The 20,140-nt window shown below is 51.0% G+C and overlaps 1 protein-coding gene across 3 annotated transcripts, besides 4 other annotated features; it reads left to right on the top strand.

Annotated features, from left to right (window-relative positions):
- Positions 6,829-7,007: a silencer, noted in NCBI's record as "fragment chr22:31543860-31544038 (GRCh37/hg19 assembly coordinates)". NCBI's record gives its function as "represses an EF-1alpha promoter that drives an FKBP-Casp9 reporter gene in an ReSE screen in phorbol 12-myristate 13-acetate-treated (for megakaryocytic differentiation) K562 erythroleukemia cells {active_cell/tissue: K562(+PMA)}" and the evidence as "EXISTENCE:reporter gene assay evidence [ECO:0000049][PMID:32094911]".
- Positions 13,751-14,310: an enhancer, noted in NCBI's record as "H3K27ac-H3K4me1 hESC enhancer chr22:31536557-31537116 (GRCh37/hg19 assembly coordinates)". NCBI's record gives its function as "activates a minimal SCP1, AML or CMV promoter by ChIP-STARR-seq in naive H9 embryonic stem cells {active_cell/tissue: H9 hESC(naive)}" and the evidence as "EXISTENCE:reporter gene assay evidence [ECO:0000049][PMID:30033119]".
- Positions 14,311-14,869: an enhancer, noted in NCBI's record as "NANOG-H3K27ac-H3K4me1 hESC enhancer chr22:31535998-31536556 (GRCh37/hg19 assembly coordinates)". NCBI's record gives its function as "activates a minimal SCP1, AML or CMV promoter by ChIP-STARR-seq in naive H9 embryonic stem cells {active_cell/tissue: H9 hESC(naive)}" and the evidence as "EXISTENCE:reporter gene assay evidence [ECO:0000049][PMID:30033119]".
- On the top strand, positions 14,373-20,074 carry PLA2G3 (phospholipase A2 group III). 3 transcript variants are annotated; one of them, NM_015715.5, is made up of 7 exons: positions 14,373-15,040; positions 16,082-16,214; positions 16,471-16,605; positions 16,888-17,171; positions 17,841-17,973; positions 18,082-18,198; positions 18,945-20,074. In NM_015715.5, the coding sequence occupies exons 1-7, from the start codon at positions 14,527-14,529 to the stop codon at positions 19,156-19,158; spliced, it is 1,530 nt and encodes a 509-aa protein (NP_056530.2). In that variant the 5' UTR covers positions 14,373-14,526; the 3' UTR covers positions 19,159-20,074. The 3 variants fall into 3 exon arrangements, with proteins under 3 accessions (NP_056530.2, XP_011528507.1, XP_011528506.1); XM_011530205.2 differs by adding an exon at positions 15,902-15,978 and having other exon boundaries at positions 16,082-16,605; XM_011530204.2 differs by adding an exon at positions 15,902-15,989 and having other exon boundaries at positions 16,082-16,605.
- Positions 16,587-17,087: an enhancer, noted in NCBI's record as "H3K4me1 hESC enhancer chr22:31533780-31534280 (GRCh37/hg19 assembly coordinates)". NCBI's record gives its function as "activates a minimal SCP1, AML or CMV promoter by ChIP-STARR-seq in primed H9 embryonic stem cells {active_cell/tissue: H9 hESC(primed)}" and the evidence as "EXISTENCE:reporter gene assay evidence [ECO:0000049][PMID:30033119]".
- Positions 20,075-20,140: the final 66 nt, after the last annotated feature.

Genomic DNA, 20,140 nt, shown 5'->3' with positions numbered 1-20,140 from the left:
GCCCCTGTAGAACCTCAGGGGGAGCCATGAGTTTGGGGGACCAGGAAGGTTGAAGAGTGGGTAAATTAGGCCAGGCGCGGTAGCTCATCATGCCTGTAATCCCAGCACTTTGGGAGGCTGAGGCGGGCGGATGACCTGAGGTCAGGAGTTCGAGACCAGCTCAGCTAACATGGTGAAACCCTGTCTCTACTACAAATACAAAAATTAGCTGGGCATGGTGGTGGGTGCCTGCAATCCCAGCTACTTGGGAGGTTGAGGTAGGAGAATCATTTGAACTGGGGAGGCGGAGGTTGCAGTGAGCCGAGATCACACCATTGCACTCCAGCCGGGGCGACAAGAGTGAAATTCTGTCTCAAAAAAACAAAACAAAAACAAAAACAAAAAACAAAAAACAACAACCAAAGAGTGGGTAAATTATAAGGTGGGAGAAGGGCATGATTAAGGACCTGGGCCACAGGTGTTTACTTGCCAAGTGAGGAGAGGCAAGAAGTCTGGGGGACCTTCTGGCCCACTTGATTTTTTTTTTTTTTTTTAACAGAGTCTCCCTCTGTCACCCAGGCTGGAGTGCGGTGGCACAATCTTGGCTCATTGCAACCTCTGCCTCCTGGGTTCAAGCGATTTTTCATGCCTCGGCCTCCCGAGTAGCTGGAAGCAGGCAGGCACTCACCACTACACCCGGCTAATTTTTTGTCTTTTTAGTAGAGACGGGTTTTCACCATGTTACCCAGGTGGTCTCAAACTCCTGAGCTCAGGCAATCCGCCTGCCTTGGCCTCCCAAAGTGCTAGAATTATAGGCATCAGCCAGGCCTATTTGATCTTCTAGGACTCACAGGTCCCTGCTCTTCTCTGGGACTCAATTTTATGATCTGTTCAATGCAAGGAGAGAGAGAGGATTCCAGCATCCCAGGGAGCACCAGCTCTTAAGGAGGTAGCATCACTTTCTCCTCCAGTCTCCTCACCTGACATGGGGGAGAAGGTTCCCTGGACCTAGCCATTTCCCTACCCCTACCCCACATTAGTCTCTCCTCATGGGTACAGGAGGCTGAGAGAGGAAGACTGTGTCTGCAGACAGAAGTGAGAATAAGCCAGAGAAAGCACTCCCTGATTCTCCTAAATCCCAGTTCTTCCACAGAGGAGTGGGCAGGTTAGGAGCATGGCCTCATTAGTCCCCTGATCTGGGGCAAATAGGCAAATCTTTGCTGTGTGCCCTCAGACAGGCCACCCACCCCTGGGCCTCAGGCTCCTCTCATTCTCTGTGTATGGGTGCTAGGGTCACGTTGAAGCCTGCTGCTCCCCTGCCATCAAGTTCCCTGCCCCAGGACAGCTCAGGGTCCGTCTATTCAGTCTTCTACTGGGGCCTGGCCCAGGGCTCTGCCCTTATGGTGGCCCTGCTGGTCAGGGGCAGAGTGAACCAGCCTGACCTTTCAGATTCACGTCTGGTAGTGATAGTATTTTTTGTTTAGATACATAGCCACCAGGTAGTATCTGAGCCATATTCTGGAATCTTCTGAGAGCTAGGTCAGCAGGACTCTATTCTTGGGAATTAGGCCCTTTCCAGAGGATTCTAGTATATTCCTAGCAAAGATGAAGCATGGCCAAAAGTTCAGGAAGCTGGCCAGGCACAGCGGTTCACATCTGTAATATCAACATTTTGGGAGGCCGACAAGGGAGGATTACTTAAGGCTAAGAGTTCAAAACCAGGCTGGGCAATATAGCAAGACCCTGTCTCTACAAAAAAAAATTTAGCTGGGCATGGTGGCATTCATCTGTAGTCCCAGCTACTGAGAAGGCTGAGGTGGGAAGATGGCTTGAGCCCAGGAGCTTCAGGATGCAGTGAGCTATGATCACGCCGCTGCACTTCAGCCTGGGTGACAGAGTGAGACCTTTTCTCTAAAAAAAAAAAAAAAAGTCTGGAAACCAGGGAAAGAAATACTAGTGAAGAGAAGGACAATACAAAAAGGCACTGAGAAATTATGGAATTATGGGATCCTGGGTAGTGTGGAGAGGGAGGGAGGTGGGGCACTCATTGGACAGTGGAGCTGCCTTGCACATCTGGGAGACTGAAGGAAGGGCAGATGTTTGCTCTGGGCCTACTATGTGCCAGGCATTATGGGGAGGTCCTTCCTTTTTTCTTTTTTTCTTTTTTTCTTTTTTTTTTTTGAGACGGGGTCTTACTCTGTCACCCAGGCTGGAGGAGGGCAGTGGTGCGATTTTGGCTCACTGCAGTCTCAACCTCCTCAGGCTCAGGTGCTCCTCCTACCTCAGCCTCCTGAGTAGCTGGAACTGCAGGCATGTGCCACGATGCCCAGCTAATTTTTGTATTTTTTGTAAAGACAGGGTTTTGCCATGTTGTCCAGGCTGGTCTGGAACTTCTGGACTCAAGCAACCTGCCTGCCTTGGCCTCCCAGATTACTGAGGTCATAGATGTGAGCCACTGTGCCTGGCCGGGAGGTCCTTTTCTTTTTTTCTTTTTTTTTTGAGACAGAATCTCACTCTGTCGCCCAGGCTGGAGTGCAGTGGTGCAATCTCTGCTCACTACAACCTCTGCCTCCCGAGTTCAAGCAATTCTCCTGTCTCAGCATCCTGAGTAGTTGGGATTACAGGTGCGCGCCACCACGCCCAGCTAATTATTTTGTATTTTTAGTGGAAACGGGGTTTCACCATGTTGGTCAGGCTGGTCTCAAACTCCTGGAGGTCATTTTCTCATACTTTTCTCAGTGAGTCCTTTTAACAGTTCATTGAGGAAAGAAGTATTTGTGGCCACTTTACAGAGGAGGAAGCTGAAGTTCAGAGAGGTGAGGAAATGTGACCAAGGTCACACAACAAGGAAATAGAGCCAGATTCAGTGCTTCCAAGTCCAGAAGGGTGAACTAGAAGTAGGGCTGCCAGATAAAATACAGGATATGCCCAATTAAATTTGAAGTTCACATAAACATCAAATTTTAAAAAATATAAATATGTCCCAAATATCACCTGGGACATACTTACATTTAAAAATTATTATGCTGGGTGCGGTGGCTTATGCCTGTAATCCCAACAGTTTGGGAAGCCAAGGCAGGAGGATCGCTTGAAGCCAGGAATTTGAGACCAGCTTGGGCCACATAGACCCCATCTCTACTAAAAGTTTTAAAAATTAGCCAGGCGTGGTGGTGCACGCCTATAGTCCCAGTTACTCAGGAGGCAGAAATGGGAGGATCACTTGAGCCCAGGAATTCAAGGCTGCAGTGAGCCATGATTGTGCCACTGCACTCCAGTCTGGGCAACAAAGCAAGATCTTGTCTCAAAAGAAAAAAAAATTACATGTTCTTTATCTGAAATTCAAAATTAACTTGACTTTTCTTTTTTGCTAAATCTTTGGTAGAGGGAATGCCTACACCTTGACGGCATAAAAGGGCAGAGCCTAGGACTGTGGGGTCTGGGAGAGAAGTGAGAGTGACTTCGCGACCCCTTCTCAGGCCTCAAGGAGGAGGCCCAGGCACTAGCACCAAGCCACCAGGGTCTACACAAACCAGGGTCTACACAGCTCCCGGACAGGTGTCTAGAAACTTTCCCAGGATGTAGGGCAATGAACACTTAAAGGGACAAAGGCCCTCAGACTCTCCCCAACCCTGTACCACATTTATTCACCCTCCTCCATACCAAGAAATTACCCTATCCTTTGTCCTCCATGTTCAGACCAAAAACCTGGGAATCATTCTTGTTTCCCCAATGCTACATGTAGAGCTGTGCTATCCGAAACAGTGGTCTTCGGTCTCATGTGGCTGAGTGCTTGAGATGGAATCCAAATTGAAATGCACAATAAGTGTAAATAAAATACACACAGGATATCAAAAACTTGGTACCAAAAAAGGGTGTAAAATGGCTTGTTAATAATTTAAAAATAGTGATTACATATTGAAATAATATTTTACACATCGGATCACATAAAGTGTATTATTAATCTTTTTTTTTGAGACCGGGTCTCACTCTCTCATCCAGACTGGAGTGCAGTGGCAGGATTGATCAAAGTTCATTGCAGCCTGAAGTCCTGGACTCAAAGTGATCCTCCCACCTCAGCCACCAGGGGTGCACCACCAGGTCCAGCTCACAAAATGTCTTATTAAAATTACTTTCACCTCTTTCTTTTATGTTCTCGATGGCTAGAAAATTTCAGATTACATTTGTGGCTAGCATTGGAATTCTGTTGACCAGTGTGGGTGCAGACATGGTCTGATTTGTTCATCTGTAAAATAGGTTTGGAGAGGTGGAGTCATTGGCTCATAGTCATACGCAGCGTCCAACCTTGGCATAGTGGGATGGGAAATCAGGTTATTTTGAACCCTGAGCCCATGGCTACCCGTCAGCCCCCTGGGCTGACATTTGACCTCTTCCAGAATCATATGCCCTCCTGAAACCACAACCAGTCCTCAGTGGAGACCTAAGGTATGCTCGCCCATCCTAGTGTGGGGACTTGGGGGTGGGGGTGGGGGCGGGGGCTTCCTGAATGGGATTGTAACCCCCCACCAAATTCACCTTGCCTGCTGCCTAGACAGAGCCGATTTATCAAGACAGGGGAATTGGAATGGGGAAAGAGTAATTAATGTAGAGCCGGCTGTGGGGGAGACCCGAGTTTTATTGTTACTCAAATCAGTCTTCCAGAGCATTTGGAGATCAGAGTTTTTAAAGATAATTTGTAGGGGCTTAGGAAGTGGGGAGTGCTGATTGGTCAGGTTGGAGATGGAATTATAGGGGGTCGAAGGGAGTTTTTCTTGCTGTCTTCTGTTCCTGGGTGGGATGGCAGAGCTGGTTGAGCCACATTACTTGTCTGGGTAGTGTCAGCTGATCCATCCAGTGCAGGGTCTGCAAAATACCTCAAGCACTGATCTTAGATTTTACAATACTGATGTTATCCCCAGGAGCAATTTGGGGAGGTTCAGACTCTTGGAGCCGGAGGCTGCATGACCCTAAACTGTAATTTCTAATCTTGTAGCTAATCTGTTAGTCTTGCAAAAACAGACTGGTCCCCACCAGGCAAGAAAAGGGTCTTTTTGGAAAAGGGCTATTACCAATTTTGTTTCAGAGTCAAATGATTAACTGAATTCCTTCCCAAAGTTAGTTTGGCCTACGCCCAGGAATGAACAAGGTCAGCTTAAAGGTTAGAAGCAAGATGGAGTCGGTGAGGTCTGATTTCTTTCAGTGTCATGATTTCCTCAGTTATAATTTTTGCAAAGGTGGTTTCAGGATGGCTAAGCCAACATCTGAAGGATGAGTAAGAACAAGCCAGGTAAAGAAGGGGGAAAAGTGTTTTAGGCAAAGGGAACAGCATGTGCAAAGGCTCTTAGAGAGTGTGTTAATTGAGAATATGAATGTAGTTCCGTGTGGTTAGAACAGAGATGTGGGGAGTAGGTGAGGTCAGCTGGGCTCAGATCCTGCAGTGCCCACCAGGCTTCAGCATGAGCCTCTCTGGTCAGAAGACAGATGTAGACAGTGGAGAGAACTGGCTATGTTTGTGTTTTAGAAAGATTGGGCCTGCTACCGTTTGGAGAACCACTGTTCCAAGAGATAAAATTGAGAACCAGAGAAGAAAAGGGCTTGTTCAGGGTCATATAGCGAATCAGAGCCAAGAAGGACTAGGCTAGCAGGCACAACCGACCAGGAAAGGAGCAGACAGCCTTGTTCAGGAGTCTCAAGGAGGCACTGGCATGGGGTGTCCACTAGATGACAGCAGAGGCTGGACCAAACTCCAGGGGCTTCGGGCAGGACCCACCCTGCTTTTCCACAAGCCTTCCTCTTTCCATTTCCCTGGTCTGGGCATCAGAGGGCCTCTTTCCTAACCCTTTTCTCCAGACCCCAGAGCAGCAAGGAGAGCCCTGGGTGTCAGGAGGCTCAGAGACTAGCCCTAGCTCCATTTCCCCTCTGCCATTGACATAGGGCAAATTCAAAGATTAAAAACTGCTTGAGAACTTGAGTCTTTGGCTGTAGAAATAGAAGTGGCATTATTAGTCTACCAGGAGCCACATTCTGTAGTTAGATCTCCTGCTGAGCCTCTTGATCCTCCTTTAATGCTCCCTGTCCACCCACCCTCTTCATTCTATCTTGTGAGTTAGACTCCCAGAGACTGTCAATGGCCCCAAGGCCCAGGCCAGCCCTAAGAGGGAAGGAAGGGATGTGAGCTAAGTTCTCTGAGTTAGAGCCAACACAAACAGCCCAGGTTTAAACCTCAGCCAAGGGGCCTTGTGTAGAACAAAATAGTGGATATGTCGCAGAGCTTTGGGCAAATCTGATCTCCTCCTAGGGCCTCCATTGTGAAATGAGGTGAAGAGTCCCTGGGTGTCTTCACTTCACTCCTGCTGGGCAGGGTTACCAGATATAGTAAACAAAAACACAGGATATGCAGTTAAATTAGAATTTCAGATAACTAAAAAAGTAATTGCAGCCAGGCACAGTGGCTCATGCCTGTAATCCCAGCACTTTGGGAGGCCAAGGCAGGCAGATCACTTGAGGTCAGGAGTTCAAGACCAGCCTGGCCAACATGGTGAAACCCTATCTCTACGAAAAATACAAAAATTAGCTGGGTGTGGTGGCGGGAGCCTGTAATCCAAGCTACTCAGGAGGCTGAGGCAAGACAATCGCTTAAACCCAGGAGGTGGAGATTGCAGTGAGCCGAGATTGTGCCACTGCACTCCAGCCTGGGTAACAGAGCAAACTCCATCTAAAAAATAAAAATAAAAATAAATAATAATAATTGCAATGTTTGGGCATATACTTACATAAAAATTATTTATCGTTTTCTGAAATTCAAATGTAACTAGACTTTTTTTTTTTTATCTGACAACTCTAGTACTGGGACATGGTAGGATGTCAAGTGGTGTTGGAACAGGAGGGGAGTGAATCTTGCACTCAGCATCATTCTATCCCATACCCCAAGGTCCTTTGGGGCTTCATTGTCCAGGTAGGTAGATCTCTCACAGCCCATTCTGCCCCTTGTTTCTACTGGATTTCCCTATAGTTTCTGGCTTACTGTGAGGCATTCCCCTCAGTGAGCTCCTTCCCCAACTCTGATCTTCACTGCACTCCAGGGAAGAAAGAAAAGTAGGCATAAGCATCCCAATCAGTAGAGTGTATAACAGGGATTCAGCCAAAGTAACTGACTTGCCCAAGGCTGCCCAGGAGGGGAAGTGGAGCTAGGGGTTGAACCCAGGGTATAGGGAAGGATCTCCTGGGCTTCTTAGAACCCCACTAGCAGGCTGGAGTCATCTGGGGACATACAAGGAGCCCACATTCTACAGCCTGGTGAACTGAATATCAGGTCAGTCACACCACCATCTTGCCTGGCTTCTGCCCTCAAGTGCCCTCCTTAAATGAAGATCTCATTTGTCAAAGGCTACTGTGTGTCAGTCACTGAGGCACTTTAGTTACACTCACATTAATCCTCATGGCATAAATGTTATTATCTCCGCTTTACCAATGAGGCCCAAAGAGGCAAAAAGACTTGGCTGAGATCACACAGAAAGTGAGAAAAAGTCTAGGTCTCAAATTTGGGTCTGATCTGGGCTTATTCCATCCTACCATACTGCCTTCCCTACACCAATGGTGTTAGATACACCTGGAGTTTTTAGGTGGAAGACTAATCTGCAAACAATAACAGTTTTGTTTCTTCCTTTCCAAACTTGACAATTTGTATTTTTTTCTTGTCTTATTGCATTGGCTGGGACTTTTAGTAGCATTAATAGTAGGTACCCATGATGTGTTCCTGATTTTAATAGAATGTTTCTATGTTAGTTACCTATTGCTGTGTTAAAAAAAATTAGCATCTCAAACAAACATTTATTAACTCACAGTTTCTGAAGGTTAGGAATTCAAGAGTAGCTCAGTTGAATAGTTCTGGCTCAGAATGCATGAGGTTACAGTGATGACATCAGCCACATTTCTCCAAAGAAAATACAGGTCGAGCATCCCTAATCCAAAAATACAAAATCCAAAATGCTCCAAAATCCAAAAGTTTTTGAGTGCTAACATGATGCTCAAAAGAAATGCTTGTTGGAGCATTTAAGATTTTGGGTTTTCTGATTAGAGATGCCCAGCTGGTTAAGTATAATGCAAATATTCCAAAATCTGAAAAAAACCCAAATCTGAACACTTCTGGTCCCAAACATTTCAGATAAGGGATACTCAACATGTATATAAATGGCCAATAAGCACATGAAAAGATGCTCAATATCATTAGTCATCAGGGAAATGCAAATCAAAATCACAATGAGATACCACTTCACAATAGGACAGCTATAAAGACAGACAATAACTAATGTTGGCAAGGATGTGGTGAAATCAGAACTTTCATACACTGCAGTTAAGAATGTAAAATAGTGGCTGGGCGCGGTGGCTCACGCCTGTAATCCCAGCACTTTGGGAGGCCGAGGCGGGCGGATCACAAGGTCAGGAGATCGAGGCCATCTTGGCTAACACGGTGAAACCCCGTCTCTACTAAAAATACAAAAAATTAGCCGGGCGCGGTGGCGGGTGCCTGTAGTCCCAGCTACTCGGGAGGCTGAGGCAGGAGAATGGCGTGAACCTGGGAGGCGGAGCTTGCAGTGAGCCGAGATTGCGCCACTGCAATCCGGCCTGGGCTAAACAGCGGGACTCCGTCTCAAAAAAAAAAAAAAAAAAAAAAAAAAAAGAATGTAAAATAGTGCAGTCACTGTGGGTGCAGCGCACCAGCATGGCACATGTATACATATGTAACTAACCTGTACATTGTGCACATGTACCCTAAAACTTAAAGTATAATAATAATAAATTAAAAAAAAATAGTGCAGTCACTTTGAAAATCAGCCTGGCAGTTCCTCAAAATGTTAAATATAGAGTTAGCATATGACCCAGCAATTTCACTCCTAGGTATATACCCAAGAGAAATAAAATCATACGTCCATGGCCAGGCGTGGCAGCTCATGCCTGTAATCCCAGCACTTTGGGAGGCTGAAGCAGGTGAATCATGAGGTCAGGAATTCAAGACCAGCCTGGCCAATGTGATGAAACCCCATCTCTACTAAAAATACAAAAATTAGTCAGGCGTGGTGGCGCACGCCTGTAATCCCAGCTACTTGGGAGGATGAAGCAGGAGAATTGCTTGAACTCGGGAGGTGGAGGTTGCGGTGAGCCGAGATCATGCCACTGCACTCCAGCCTGGGTGACAGAGCAAGACTGCATCTCAAAAAAAAAAAAAAATTAAAATAGTATGTCCAAAAACTTGCACATGAATGTTCATAGTAGCATTATTCATAATAGCCAAAAAATGGAAGCAACCCAAACGTCCACCAGCTGATGAATGGAAAAGCAAAATGTGGTATATCCATACAATGGAATCTTATCCAGTCATAAAAAGGAATGAAGTACAAATAGATGCTGCTACAACACAGATGAACCTTGGAAACATTATGCTAAATGAAAAGTGCCAATCACAAAAGACCACACATTGTACAATTCTCTAGATATGAAATGTATAGAATATGCAACTCTATAGCCAGGCCTGGTGGCAGGCATCTGTAGTCCCGGCTACGCAGAAGGCTGAGGCAGGAGAATGGTGTGAACCCGGGAGGCGGAGCTTGCAGTGAGCCAAGATTGCGCCACCGCACTCCAGCCTGGGCAACAGAGCGAGACTTCGTCTCAAAACAAAACAAAACAAAACAAAACAAAAGAATATGCAACTCTATGGAGACATAAAGTAGATTAGTGGTTTATAGGGGATGGGGGAGAGAGGAAGGCAGAATGACTTACAGGATTTCTTTTTGGGATGATGAAAATGTTCTGGAATTAGATAGTGGTGACGGTTGCACAACTATGGATATACTAAAAAACATTGAACTGTATACTTTAAATGGATGCATTGTATGGTATGTGAATTGTATCTTAAAAGTTCTGTTTCCAAAAAAAAAGTCAGATGGGGCTGTACTTATCTGAAGGCTTGACTGGGGCTTAAGGGTCTGCTTCCAAGTGGCTCACTCACAAGAATGTTAACAGAAAGCCTCAGTTCCTCCCTCACCACATGGGCATCTTCATAGGGCTGCTTGAATGTCCTTTTTGTTTTTTGTTTTGTTTTGTTTTTCTTTTGTCTTGTTTTTGAGGCAGTGAGATCCTGCAACTCTGTTGCAGTTGGAGTGCAGTGGTACAATCATGGTTCACTGCAGCTTTCACCTCCAGAGCACAAGCGATCCTCCCACCTCAGCCTCCCAAATAGCTAGACCACAGGTGTGTGCCACTATACCCAGCTAATTGTTTTTGTTTTTGTTTGTTTGTTTGTTTTTTGAGACAGGGTCTTGCCATGTTGGTCAGCCTGGTTTCAAACTCCTGGCCTCAAGCAATCCTCCTGCCTCAGCCTCCCAAAGTGTTGGGATTACAGGGGTGAGCTACCACACCTGGTCCTGCTTAAATGTCTTTGTGACATGTCAGCTGGCTTCCACAGAGTGAGTCATCCAGGAAGAAGAGCAAGAAGTCAGGCACAATGCCTTTTATGACTTAGTCTCAGAAGTTACCTCACTTCCATCACATTTTATTTGTTAGAAGCAAGTCACTAAGTGTAGCTCATACTCAAGGTAGGGGAATTAGGCTCCACCATTTGAAAGGAGGAGTATCAAAGAATTTCTGCACATCTTCTTAAACCACCACAGCTTCTAATGTTGTTCTGTGACCTAGAATGATTTCTGTAGTGTCCCTGACTCCCCATCTCTCTCTGTCTCTTTTATTCTAGTTTAATAAGCTATTGAATTGAATAATGTGTTTCTTCCCATCTACTGAGATGTTTAGTTTTAGACACAAGTTGTGTCTCATTCTTTATTCCCTCATACTTAGGGCTGGGTTTCATTGATGGCAGGTATGCTAGGGGCTGAACTACCTGGAAATGTTACAGGCATGGTCCTATAGCCATAGATTTGTACTCCATAACCCTAGGATCTCCTGGAAGAAGACTGCCTTCTGGGCTTCCTCCCCAGATGCCAGACTCTGTCTGTCTCACTGGGTTTCCTCTCCTGGTCTGCAGTGGGGGCTGCCCCAGCCAAATGGGTGCGTACGTTCCCAGATGTGGCAGCAGTCTCCTAACAACCTCCAGCCAGAGCACCATCAGGATCTGCAAAGCAGAGGCCACTGTCTTCCTGGGAAGTCTGCCAGCCAATGTCTGGGCACAGCTGGGACACTAGGGCTTGGCCATTTCTGCCCAATTGGGACTCTTCTACAGGCAGTCTTTGCACCAGAGCTCCCTGTTGGCTGGCTGAGACTTTTTCAGAGTGGCACTTCAACATGAGGCTCTTCTCAACCAACCCTCCTTCCCCTCTCTTCCCATAGATGTCAGATCTGAAACACAGTCGGAAGGCTTTCCCTGCCCAGTCCTGCTTCTTCCCCCTTTATCTTTCATAGGCATTTCCTCTGATGAATCTCTTGGACTTCTAACTCTAGGTTGGCAGCAGTTTCCTAGAGGACCCAGCTGACACCCTGGCCCTGGCCCTTTTCTGTGGCTGCCAGATCCCAGTTCCCTGGGGCATGAGTTCCCTCTCCACCCCTCCTGACCGCTCTATTCCCTCTTCCTTCCTCTCTTTCGCAGGCTGTGTCCACAGTCTCAACCTGTGCCTGGCACATAGTAGATTCAGTAACTACTTGTTTTTGAATGGACACAGAATACTCTGGAGCTAGGCACTGCCCCCCCCATTCTCCTGGCATAGAGAGCCACAGAGAGGCCCCTGGGTAAGGCTGGGAGTGCCAGCTCCATGGGCCAGAAGGAAGGCACCCTTCAGGCGACTGGGGAAGGAAGGCCTGAGGCTAGGAGGCTGTGGGAGAGCCAAGAGACTCCCAGATCCCAGGGAGGCCTTCCTCACATGCCAGGGGAAGTCGAAGCTGGCTTCTCTCTGGATCTGCTGGGTGAGCAAGTCACTCCTTTTCTTGGGCCTTACTCCATACCTCTATGGGACTATGGGATGAGAAGCCCCACCCTGCCTGTCTCCCTAGGGAGAGGCAGGGGTAGTGAGCTTCAGGTGAAGTCATGTCTGGGAAAACATGAATGGGAAAGGGCAGGGCACACGGGGTTTGGGGGTTTGTGTATGGGGAAGGATGGTGAGAGACAGGGATAGACGATCACACAGGGAAGAAGGAGAGGCCCTGCCCCTCCTTCTCTCATGAACCCCCACCCCTACTCCCCACTGGCACCCACTATGCACCCTGCCTCACCCAGACAGGTGGAGGGCCAGAGAAAAGCCTCAGACCCTCTTCCGTCTGCAGGACCCAGGCCTTCCTGTCTCGCTGGTTTGGCCCCTCTGCTCCAGGGCCTCTGAGGGACACCCTGGTGGAAGGCAGGACTCTGAGCCTGTCTTGTGGCTGACTGACTTGTTTTTGGGTGGAGTCTGGACAGAAAGCTCAGTGACACCCTCCCTCGAGGCCTGGGCAAGCCCCAGCCTGATGTTCTTTGAGACCCAGACTGGAAAAGACCTCAAAGTTCAACTCCACTGTACTTCTCACTGTACAGTGGGGGAAACTGAGTCCCAGAAAGGGACAGGGACAAGCCTGGAGTGACCCAGGCAGGTAGTGTCCTGGCCACTGTTCCCACAGTTGCCATCTAGCCCGAGCTCTCAGATATCACAGATGCTGTGGCCCCAAAATCTTGGGACTTGCTTTCTCCTGAGTAAACTGCTTCCTGGCCAGGGGTATCCTGAGGCTTTAGTGATGGTGTTTTGGGTGCCAGGAACTGTGCTGGGAATCTTACCCAACATCCTGTGGAGTGACTACTGTGATTATGCCCATGATACAGATGAGGAAACTAAGACTCAGAGAAGTTAAGATTTCCAAGCCTAGGGTCTGTGTGGAAACCTAAGCTGGACCTGTCTGACCTCGAAAGCTTGGCTCCTCGTATCCTACCTCCCAGCCTCCCCAGGTGATGGGCAGGGAAGGGCTCAGCAATGTGGAAAAGGGGGCAGAGGTGGGTGGCAGTTCCTATGATGGGAGGAAGTCTCAGCATGATGATTTTTCAAACATCACAACTCTTCACAGAAGGACTCACCTTTGTTCAGCTACATCCTTGCCCTTGGGGACCCCAGGTCTACCTCCTCTGCCACCACTCGCTGTATTCCACACCCCCTTTCTCAACCTCTGGCAAGAAGGCGCTTGGTCCCTGGACTAGCCCTACCCTCTTTCCCTTCTCTTCATTGTTCCCAGCTATGATGCTTTGAGCCACAGGCCCAGGCTGGTTCTGAAGCTACAGAGATGGACCTGCCCACCCTGCAGCCCCCTTCCCCCTCTGCCACACAGTGAGCTCTCCTTCCCCAGCTCTGCCCCTGGCTTTACCTCACTGGGGCTCATCCCCTGGAAGAGACTCAGATGGAGCCTGGGGCAGGGGGAGGCTGGAGAAGCAGCAGGCTAATGGGCAGATGGAAGACAGACAAGTCACTGTCCTGGCCAGCCCTGACTCCCATCCAGATCCCCAAGCGCTGCATTCCCATCCTCTAAGCCCTCCCCAGCTGGAGCCTGTCACCTGAGGTTTTCCCACCCTCACTGAGCCTCAGTTTCTTCATCTGCACTATGGGTGTAAGCACCCTGGCCTCACTAGATGGTTGGAAGCTGGGCTTTGGGATCCAGGAACAATACCTGGGTATAGCCCCTTCCTGATGGAGAGATTCCTGTCTCATGAGGCACACATGATGCCTGCTGTGTCCCCCCAGGTGGCCAGGGATGGAGGTGGCCACAGACATACACCCTGGGCCACTCTCTGCCACTCTAGGGACCATAGTTCTTTCAAATCCAGAGCATCAGCCCTGCCCTGTGTGGCTCTCAAGGCCTGTTCCCGCTGCGTCTCCCCCAGTTATCAGACCAGGAGGGTTGCTGCAAGGCCAGGCCCATGCTTGGAGTCCTAGGAAGCGGGGAGCCCTGGGGCTCTGTCCCCTGAGTATGCCGAGAGCCTTTCTAAGAACCAGGACTTGGCAGGGGAGCACCCCAGGTGGCACTCCCTTTCCCAGAAGCCTTGGGAACTCCCAGGGTGGTAGCTTCAGAGCCCCAGCCCTTCCTTCACCCAGCCCTGGCAGAGGCCCATGGCCCCCTGCCAGCCTGATGGAGGTGGATGTGGCAGCCACCGCTGTGGTAAGGGTGAGAAGGGTGGGTTCTAAGGGACTCCTCCAAGCTCCTGAACCCTTTTCCTTCCCTTCAAGGAGATGTGAAAGCCCCAGCCTGGTCCCCATCCCACAGCTTAGGGCTTTGGCTCCCATAGTCCCAATCTAGGCAGGGCTGGCAGCAGGTGACTGGATGGTGCTGAGAAGGCAGGCAGAATGGGGGCGTGGGCCCTGGCAAGTGCACTCCTCAGCCAATCAGCGTCCTGCCCGGCTGGTGGATTCGGTTACAAGCCCAAGATCACCCCATACTCCAGCCTCTTTCCTCCTCCTCCCGCAGCTCCATTCATTGGTCCCGCCGCACCGGGCCTGCTGGGCTCCGCTTCCGTTCCACTGCTCAGCTGCCGCCTGGTGGGGCCACCAAGGGCAGGCATCCCAGGGGCTTTGTCTGACTGGACTGGGCCAGTGCAGAATGGGGGTTCAGGCAGGGCTGTTTGGGATGCTGGGCTTCCTGGGGGTGGCCCTGGGGGGCTCCCCTGCCCTCCGCTGGTACAGGACCTCCTGCCACTTGACCAAGGCCGTCCCTGGCAACCCACTGGGGTACCTGAGCTTCCTGGCCAAGGATGCTCAGGGACTGGCCCTGATCCATGCCCGCTGGGATGCGCATAGGAGGCTGCAGTCATGTAGCTGGGAGGATGAGCCGGAGCTCACCGCAGCCTACGGTGCTCTCTGTGCTCATGAGACTGCCTGGGGCTCCTTCATCCACACCCCCGGACCCGAGCTGCAGAGAGCACTGGCCACTCTTCAGAGTCAGTGGGAGGCATGCCGAGCGCTTGAGGAGAGTCCAGCAGGGGCCAGGAAGAAGCGAGCAGCAGGGCAGAGTGGAGTCCCTGGTGGAGGGCACCAGCGAGAGAAGAGAGGATGGACCATGCCTGGCACACTGTGGTGTGGAGTTGGAGATTCTGCTGGGAACTCCTCGGAGCTGGGTGAGCCATGAGGGGTGTGTGGGCTGGGGGGTCCGATCGGGGAAGCAAGGTTTCTTCAGCCCCAGCCCTTACTCTCCTAGGCTGTGTGTCCCTGGGGGAGTGACTTGACCATGGTGAACCTCAATTTCCTTATCTGTAAAGTGGGGGCAATCACGAATCTCATCATGGGGTGCTTAAATGAGGTCACGGTTGGGGAAAGTCTTATTCAAACCTGGGAGTCCTCATTAAATGCCATCCGAGGGACTGGGCAGGCTGGGGGAGGATCCAGGGTCAACTGAGCCAAAAAGCCATTACCCAGGAGGAGGCTTTGTGGGCACGGGGTGCCCAGTGGAATGGATGCTGAGACGAAAGGCCTGGGTTCAAATCCCAACTCAGCACATACAAGCTGAGCAAGTCACTTCCCCTCTCTGGACTTATTTCCTCACCTGTAAAATGAAGGTGATACCTCCCTTTCAGGGCTGGCTGTGAACCTGGATGTGGGAAGTGCCAGGCATGTGGGAAATGCTTAGTAAAGAGTGCTATTTTTTAGATGGTAATAAACATAGATGAATTTCTTGCACTATCAGTACAGATGTCTGTGCGTTTGTGTGCAGGGTTGGGGGAGGGCTTGGCACCTGAGTCAGAGTAGGTTGGCATCCTGGCGACACCTCCTTGTGCCAGTGAGAAAGGTTGCACCCTGCCTGTTTGCCATTCCATCATACACACATTCATAATTTTGGAGTTTTATTTGGGGCGTGGGCTTGGGAACTCTGGAGGCAGACTCCAATTCCCCTGAGGAAGACCTTTCCATGTATTTATGGGTGGGCTACCTGGCATTTAGAGTTGCCCAACAGAGGCTGCAGCTTGGCTTCTCTTTTCCAGCTTTGAAACTCTGAGAGTCCCACAGAAGGGAGAGTGACTGGTCTGAGGACCCTCATGGCGTTTGTGTCAGGGCTGGGGTGAGAACCAGGTCTCTGCCCTCTTCCTACCAGGGGGGCATAGCTGGTGCATGATGCCTAGGACCCTGCTGAGTTGGTGCCCTCTCCCCTCCCCTCCCTGCAGGGGTCTTCCAGGGACCTGATCTCTGTTGCCGGGAACATGACCGCTGCCCACAGAACATCTCACCCTTGCAGTACAACTATGGCATCCGAAACTACCGATTCCACACCATCTCCCACTGTGACTGTGACACCAGGTTGGTGGCAGGCAGCGAGGGCCCAGAGCTCAGGGACAGGGCAGAGTTACCCAGTTCCTGGGTAACTAGACATTGGGATTGCAGAGGATCTTAAAGCTCAGCCAGCTTGGACCCCACAGTGCAGGTAGGAAAGCTGAGGCCAGAAAGAAGGGATGCTTGGACCCCAAACCACCCAGCTGGTAGTGGCACAGTGGGCTGTGGGAGGAGCCAGACAGCCCTCCATGCCCCAGGGTCCTGGGTATCTGTTCTGGGGCAGGTTTCAGCAATGCCTACAGAATCAGCACGACTCCATCTCGGACATCGTGGGCGTGGCCTTCTTCAACGTGCTGGAGATCCCCTGCTTTGTGCTGGAGGAGCAGGAGGCGTGTGTGGCGTGGTACTGGTGGGGCGGGTACGTGGCCACCCCCTCATGTCCCTTTCCAGACAGAGAGGGAGCCCAGGCTCCAAGCCTGGTGAGGGAGAGCTATCTGTCTGTCTGTCTTCCAGGGAATGATGTCCCATCCTGCATGTCCTCTCCTGAGGGCCCGGGATGCAGACCCTCCTTGGGTGTCCCCCACAACCCAGCGGGATGGGGGATGGGACTGGCAGAGCATTGATCTCCATGGAGACGACCCTGGGGGCTTCTGGAAGGGGGATTCCCAGTCACCAATTTCCACCAACTGCCACCACCCAGGTGTAGGATGTACGGCACAGTGCCCCTCGCTCGCCTGCAGCCCAGGACCTTCTACAATGCCTCCTGGAGCTCCCGGGCCACCTCCCCAACTCCCAGCTCCCGGAGCCCAGCCCCTCCCAAGCCTCGACAGAAGCAGCACCTTCGGAAGGGGCCACCACATCAGAAAGGGTCCAAGCGCCCCAGCAAAGCCAACACCACAGCCCTCCAGGACCCTATGGTCTCTCCCAGGCTTGATGTGGCCCCCACAGGCCTCCAGGGCCCACAGGGTGGCCTAAAACCTCAGGGTGAGCTCAGAACCTAACCTTGGGGGTTCCTGACATGAGGGGGTGTCCCTGCTTCTGTTTAGGGGTGGCCATGTGTTGCCTCTTTTCCTGCACCAGTTTCCTCCTGGGATTTCCCAACCTCTCCCATGAAATCACACTGCAGCACAGGATTTTCATAATCCACGAATTTGACCACATCAGGCCCCACTGTGCACCCACCACCACTCCTCTTTATCTCAGCCAATGATGTCCCAACACCCAGAGGCCCTCAAGCCTTGGCCCTGCAGACCCTACCCCCAGTCAAAACTCTAGTTTCACAAACTTCACTTGGTTCCTCAAAAGCGCCAGGCTCTCTCCTACCGTGAGGCCTTTGCACATGCTGTTCCTCCTCTCCTTGTCTTCTCTCCCACCCTCAGTTTAGCAGCCTATGCCTCCTGGAAGCCTTTCTTGACTACCGTCAGTACTCTGGGTGTCCCCCATAGCAGTACTACCGTGTTTGGCGGCTTGGGGGTAGGGAGGCACTGCCACAAGGGCGGCACACTGAGGGCACAAAGACTCAGAAGGCATGAAATGGAGGGAATCTGTGTGTGTGACTGAGCACACGTGCTGGTGTTTCTCCCGGATGGCGCAGGCATTGGTGGGGCCTCCCTGGTGGATTGGGCTCCCATCAACACCACATCCACCCCTCAGGTGCCCGCTGGGTCTGCCGCAGCTTCCGCCGCCACCTGGACCAGTGTGAGCACCAGATTGGGCCCCGGGAAATCGAGTTCCAGCTGCTCAACAGCGCCCAAGAGCCCCTCTTCCACTGCAACTGCACGCGCCGGTGAGGCCCCTTTGAACCCTCGCGGGGTGGGCTGCCTGCTGCCAGGCATGGGAAGGGGCCCCTGGCTGGCAAGGCCCTGCCCCGGCCTGAGCCTGCCTCTGTTCTCAGTCTGGCACGCTTCCTGAGGCTCCACAGCCCACCCGAGGTTACCAACATGCTTTGGGAGCTGCTGGGCACAACCTGCTTCAAGCTGGCCCCTCCACTGGACTGTGTGGAAGGCAAAAAGTAAGTGATGTCAGAGCCAGGAGGGATGGGGGGTTTTCTCAAAGGGTGGGTTGCCTATACCCACTTTGAATGCTTGGGCCAAGGGGTAGGGGAAGGGATCCGGAGACCTCTGAGCTCCTATCCATAGCCTCATCCCTCTACCCCCTGCTGCCCCAGGTCCAGCTCTGCAGTTGGCCTCTATGGGTCGCATCTTGGCTTTGTCATTTGATTCCCACATGACCTTGGCAACTGGTTCACCTTTCCAAGTTTCCATGTCTTTGTCTGTAAAATGGTCGTAGGAACCAAGGAAACGGCAGGATGCACATAGGTCATGCCCCGCCTGGCACACAGCAAAATGTGTACTTAACTCACTCCTAATCCACAATCTCATTTGGTCTTGAACTTCTGGACTCGAGCGATCCTCCCACCTCGGCCTCCTAAAGTGCTGGGATTACAGGCGTGAGCCACTGTGCTCTGCTTTCATCTGGATTCCGATTCTCAAAGCCAGCTCCTTCTTAACTTTCCCATTTCATAGATGAGGCTGAGGCTTCTGGCTCAGGTTTCCACAGCCAGCTAGTGGCAGAACCCAGGCCTCCAGGTACCAGCCCGGTTTATTATACCCTTTCTCCGTGAAACCCACCCCTCTCTGCCTTGCTGGTGACTGTGGCCCCAGCCCCCTCTCTCTCTGGGCCTCAGCCCACTGTCTGCAGAGTAAGGTGGGATCCTTGTCAGCCCTGATCATCTGCCCCACTCTTCTCTCCTTACAGCTGTTCCAGAGACCCTAGGGCCATCAGGGTGTCAGCCCGGCACTTGCGGAGGCTTCAGCAGAGGCGACACCAGCTCCAGGATAAAGGCACAGATGAGAGGCAGCCATGGCCTTCAGAGCCCCTGAGAGGCCCCATGTCATTCTACAACCAGTGCCTGCAGCTAACCCAGGCAGCCAGGAGACCCGACAGGCAGCAGAAGTCCTGGAGCCAGTGACCTCAGTTTCAGCTTTCCTGGGCACCAGCCTGGACCTTGCCCATGGCTATGCCAAGCCTTGGGAATCTCAGCCTCCCCTCCGTAGGTTAGACTGAAGCATGGCAGAGGCTGTTGTGGACAATCAAGAGGATGAATGGGGGGATCTCAAGGCCCAAATGCTGGACCACATCTCCTGCTGTTCTGGGTAACCTTGAGCTATGTATGACACAACTCTTCTATGCCTGGATGTGGTGTTCAGGAAGCTCATTCTGATGCCCTGGGCTTTGGCCTTGCCAGGGAACTTCACATACAGATGAGAATGGGGAAAGGGTAACTTATTGCAGCAGCCCCAGGCAGTACCAGGAGGAGGTACATGTATGTCCGTGTTGCAAAAATAATACATGCCTCAAAAACCTGCCTAGGGGAGCCCTAGTGCCTGGGTGCTGTGGCCTGAGGTAGCAGGTGGGAAGTTAGGGATGTCACAGAAATGTCTGTGTCTGAATCCAGGATTGGGGTGGGTGTTGGAGAGGGCTTTCAGCTCCCCTCCTCCCAGGGGGGCCTCTTTTTTTAACGGCTGCCGTGCCCTTCCTGGCCCAGCCCTAAACCTAAATTCAAATCTCCTCCATGCCTTTGCGCAAAGGACCTCCCTCTTGCACTCTAAGCCTTAGTTTCCTCCTCTAAAAAAAGGGGGTCTCTAAACAGGAGCTACCTCATAGGGTTGTTGAGGATTAAGTGAACCAATACATATACAGTGCTTAGCACTTAATAAGTATTCCCCCCTGCGACACCTAGCTGAACTATGGTTTGGTGTCTGATCTTGAGAGGTTGATGTAACCTTTTAAAGGCCTCAGTTCGCTCACCTGTGAAATGGGTCTAAGAATAGCACTGATCTCACAGGGTTGTGATGCAGATTAAAGGAGATGGCATGTGTAATGTATACAGCTGGTGCCTGGTAAATGTCGGTTCTGTCATTCCCTCACCTCTTCAGTCCCTGCCTCTGACT

Source organism: Homo sapiens, chromosome 22 (genome assembly GCF_000001405.40).
Source record: "Homo sapiens chromosome 22, GRCh38.p14 Primary Assembly".
NCBI classification, from domain to species: Eukaryota; Metazoa; Chordata; class Mammalia; order Primates; family Hominidae; genus Homo; species Homo sapiens.
This window is presented reverse-complemented; position numbering and strand designations above follow the sequence as displayed.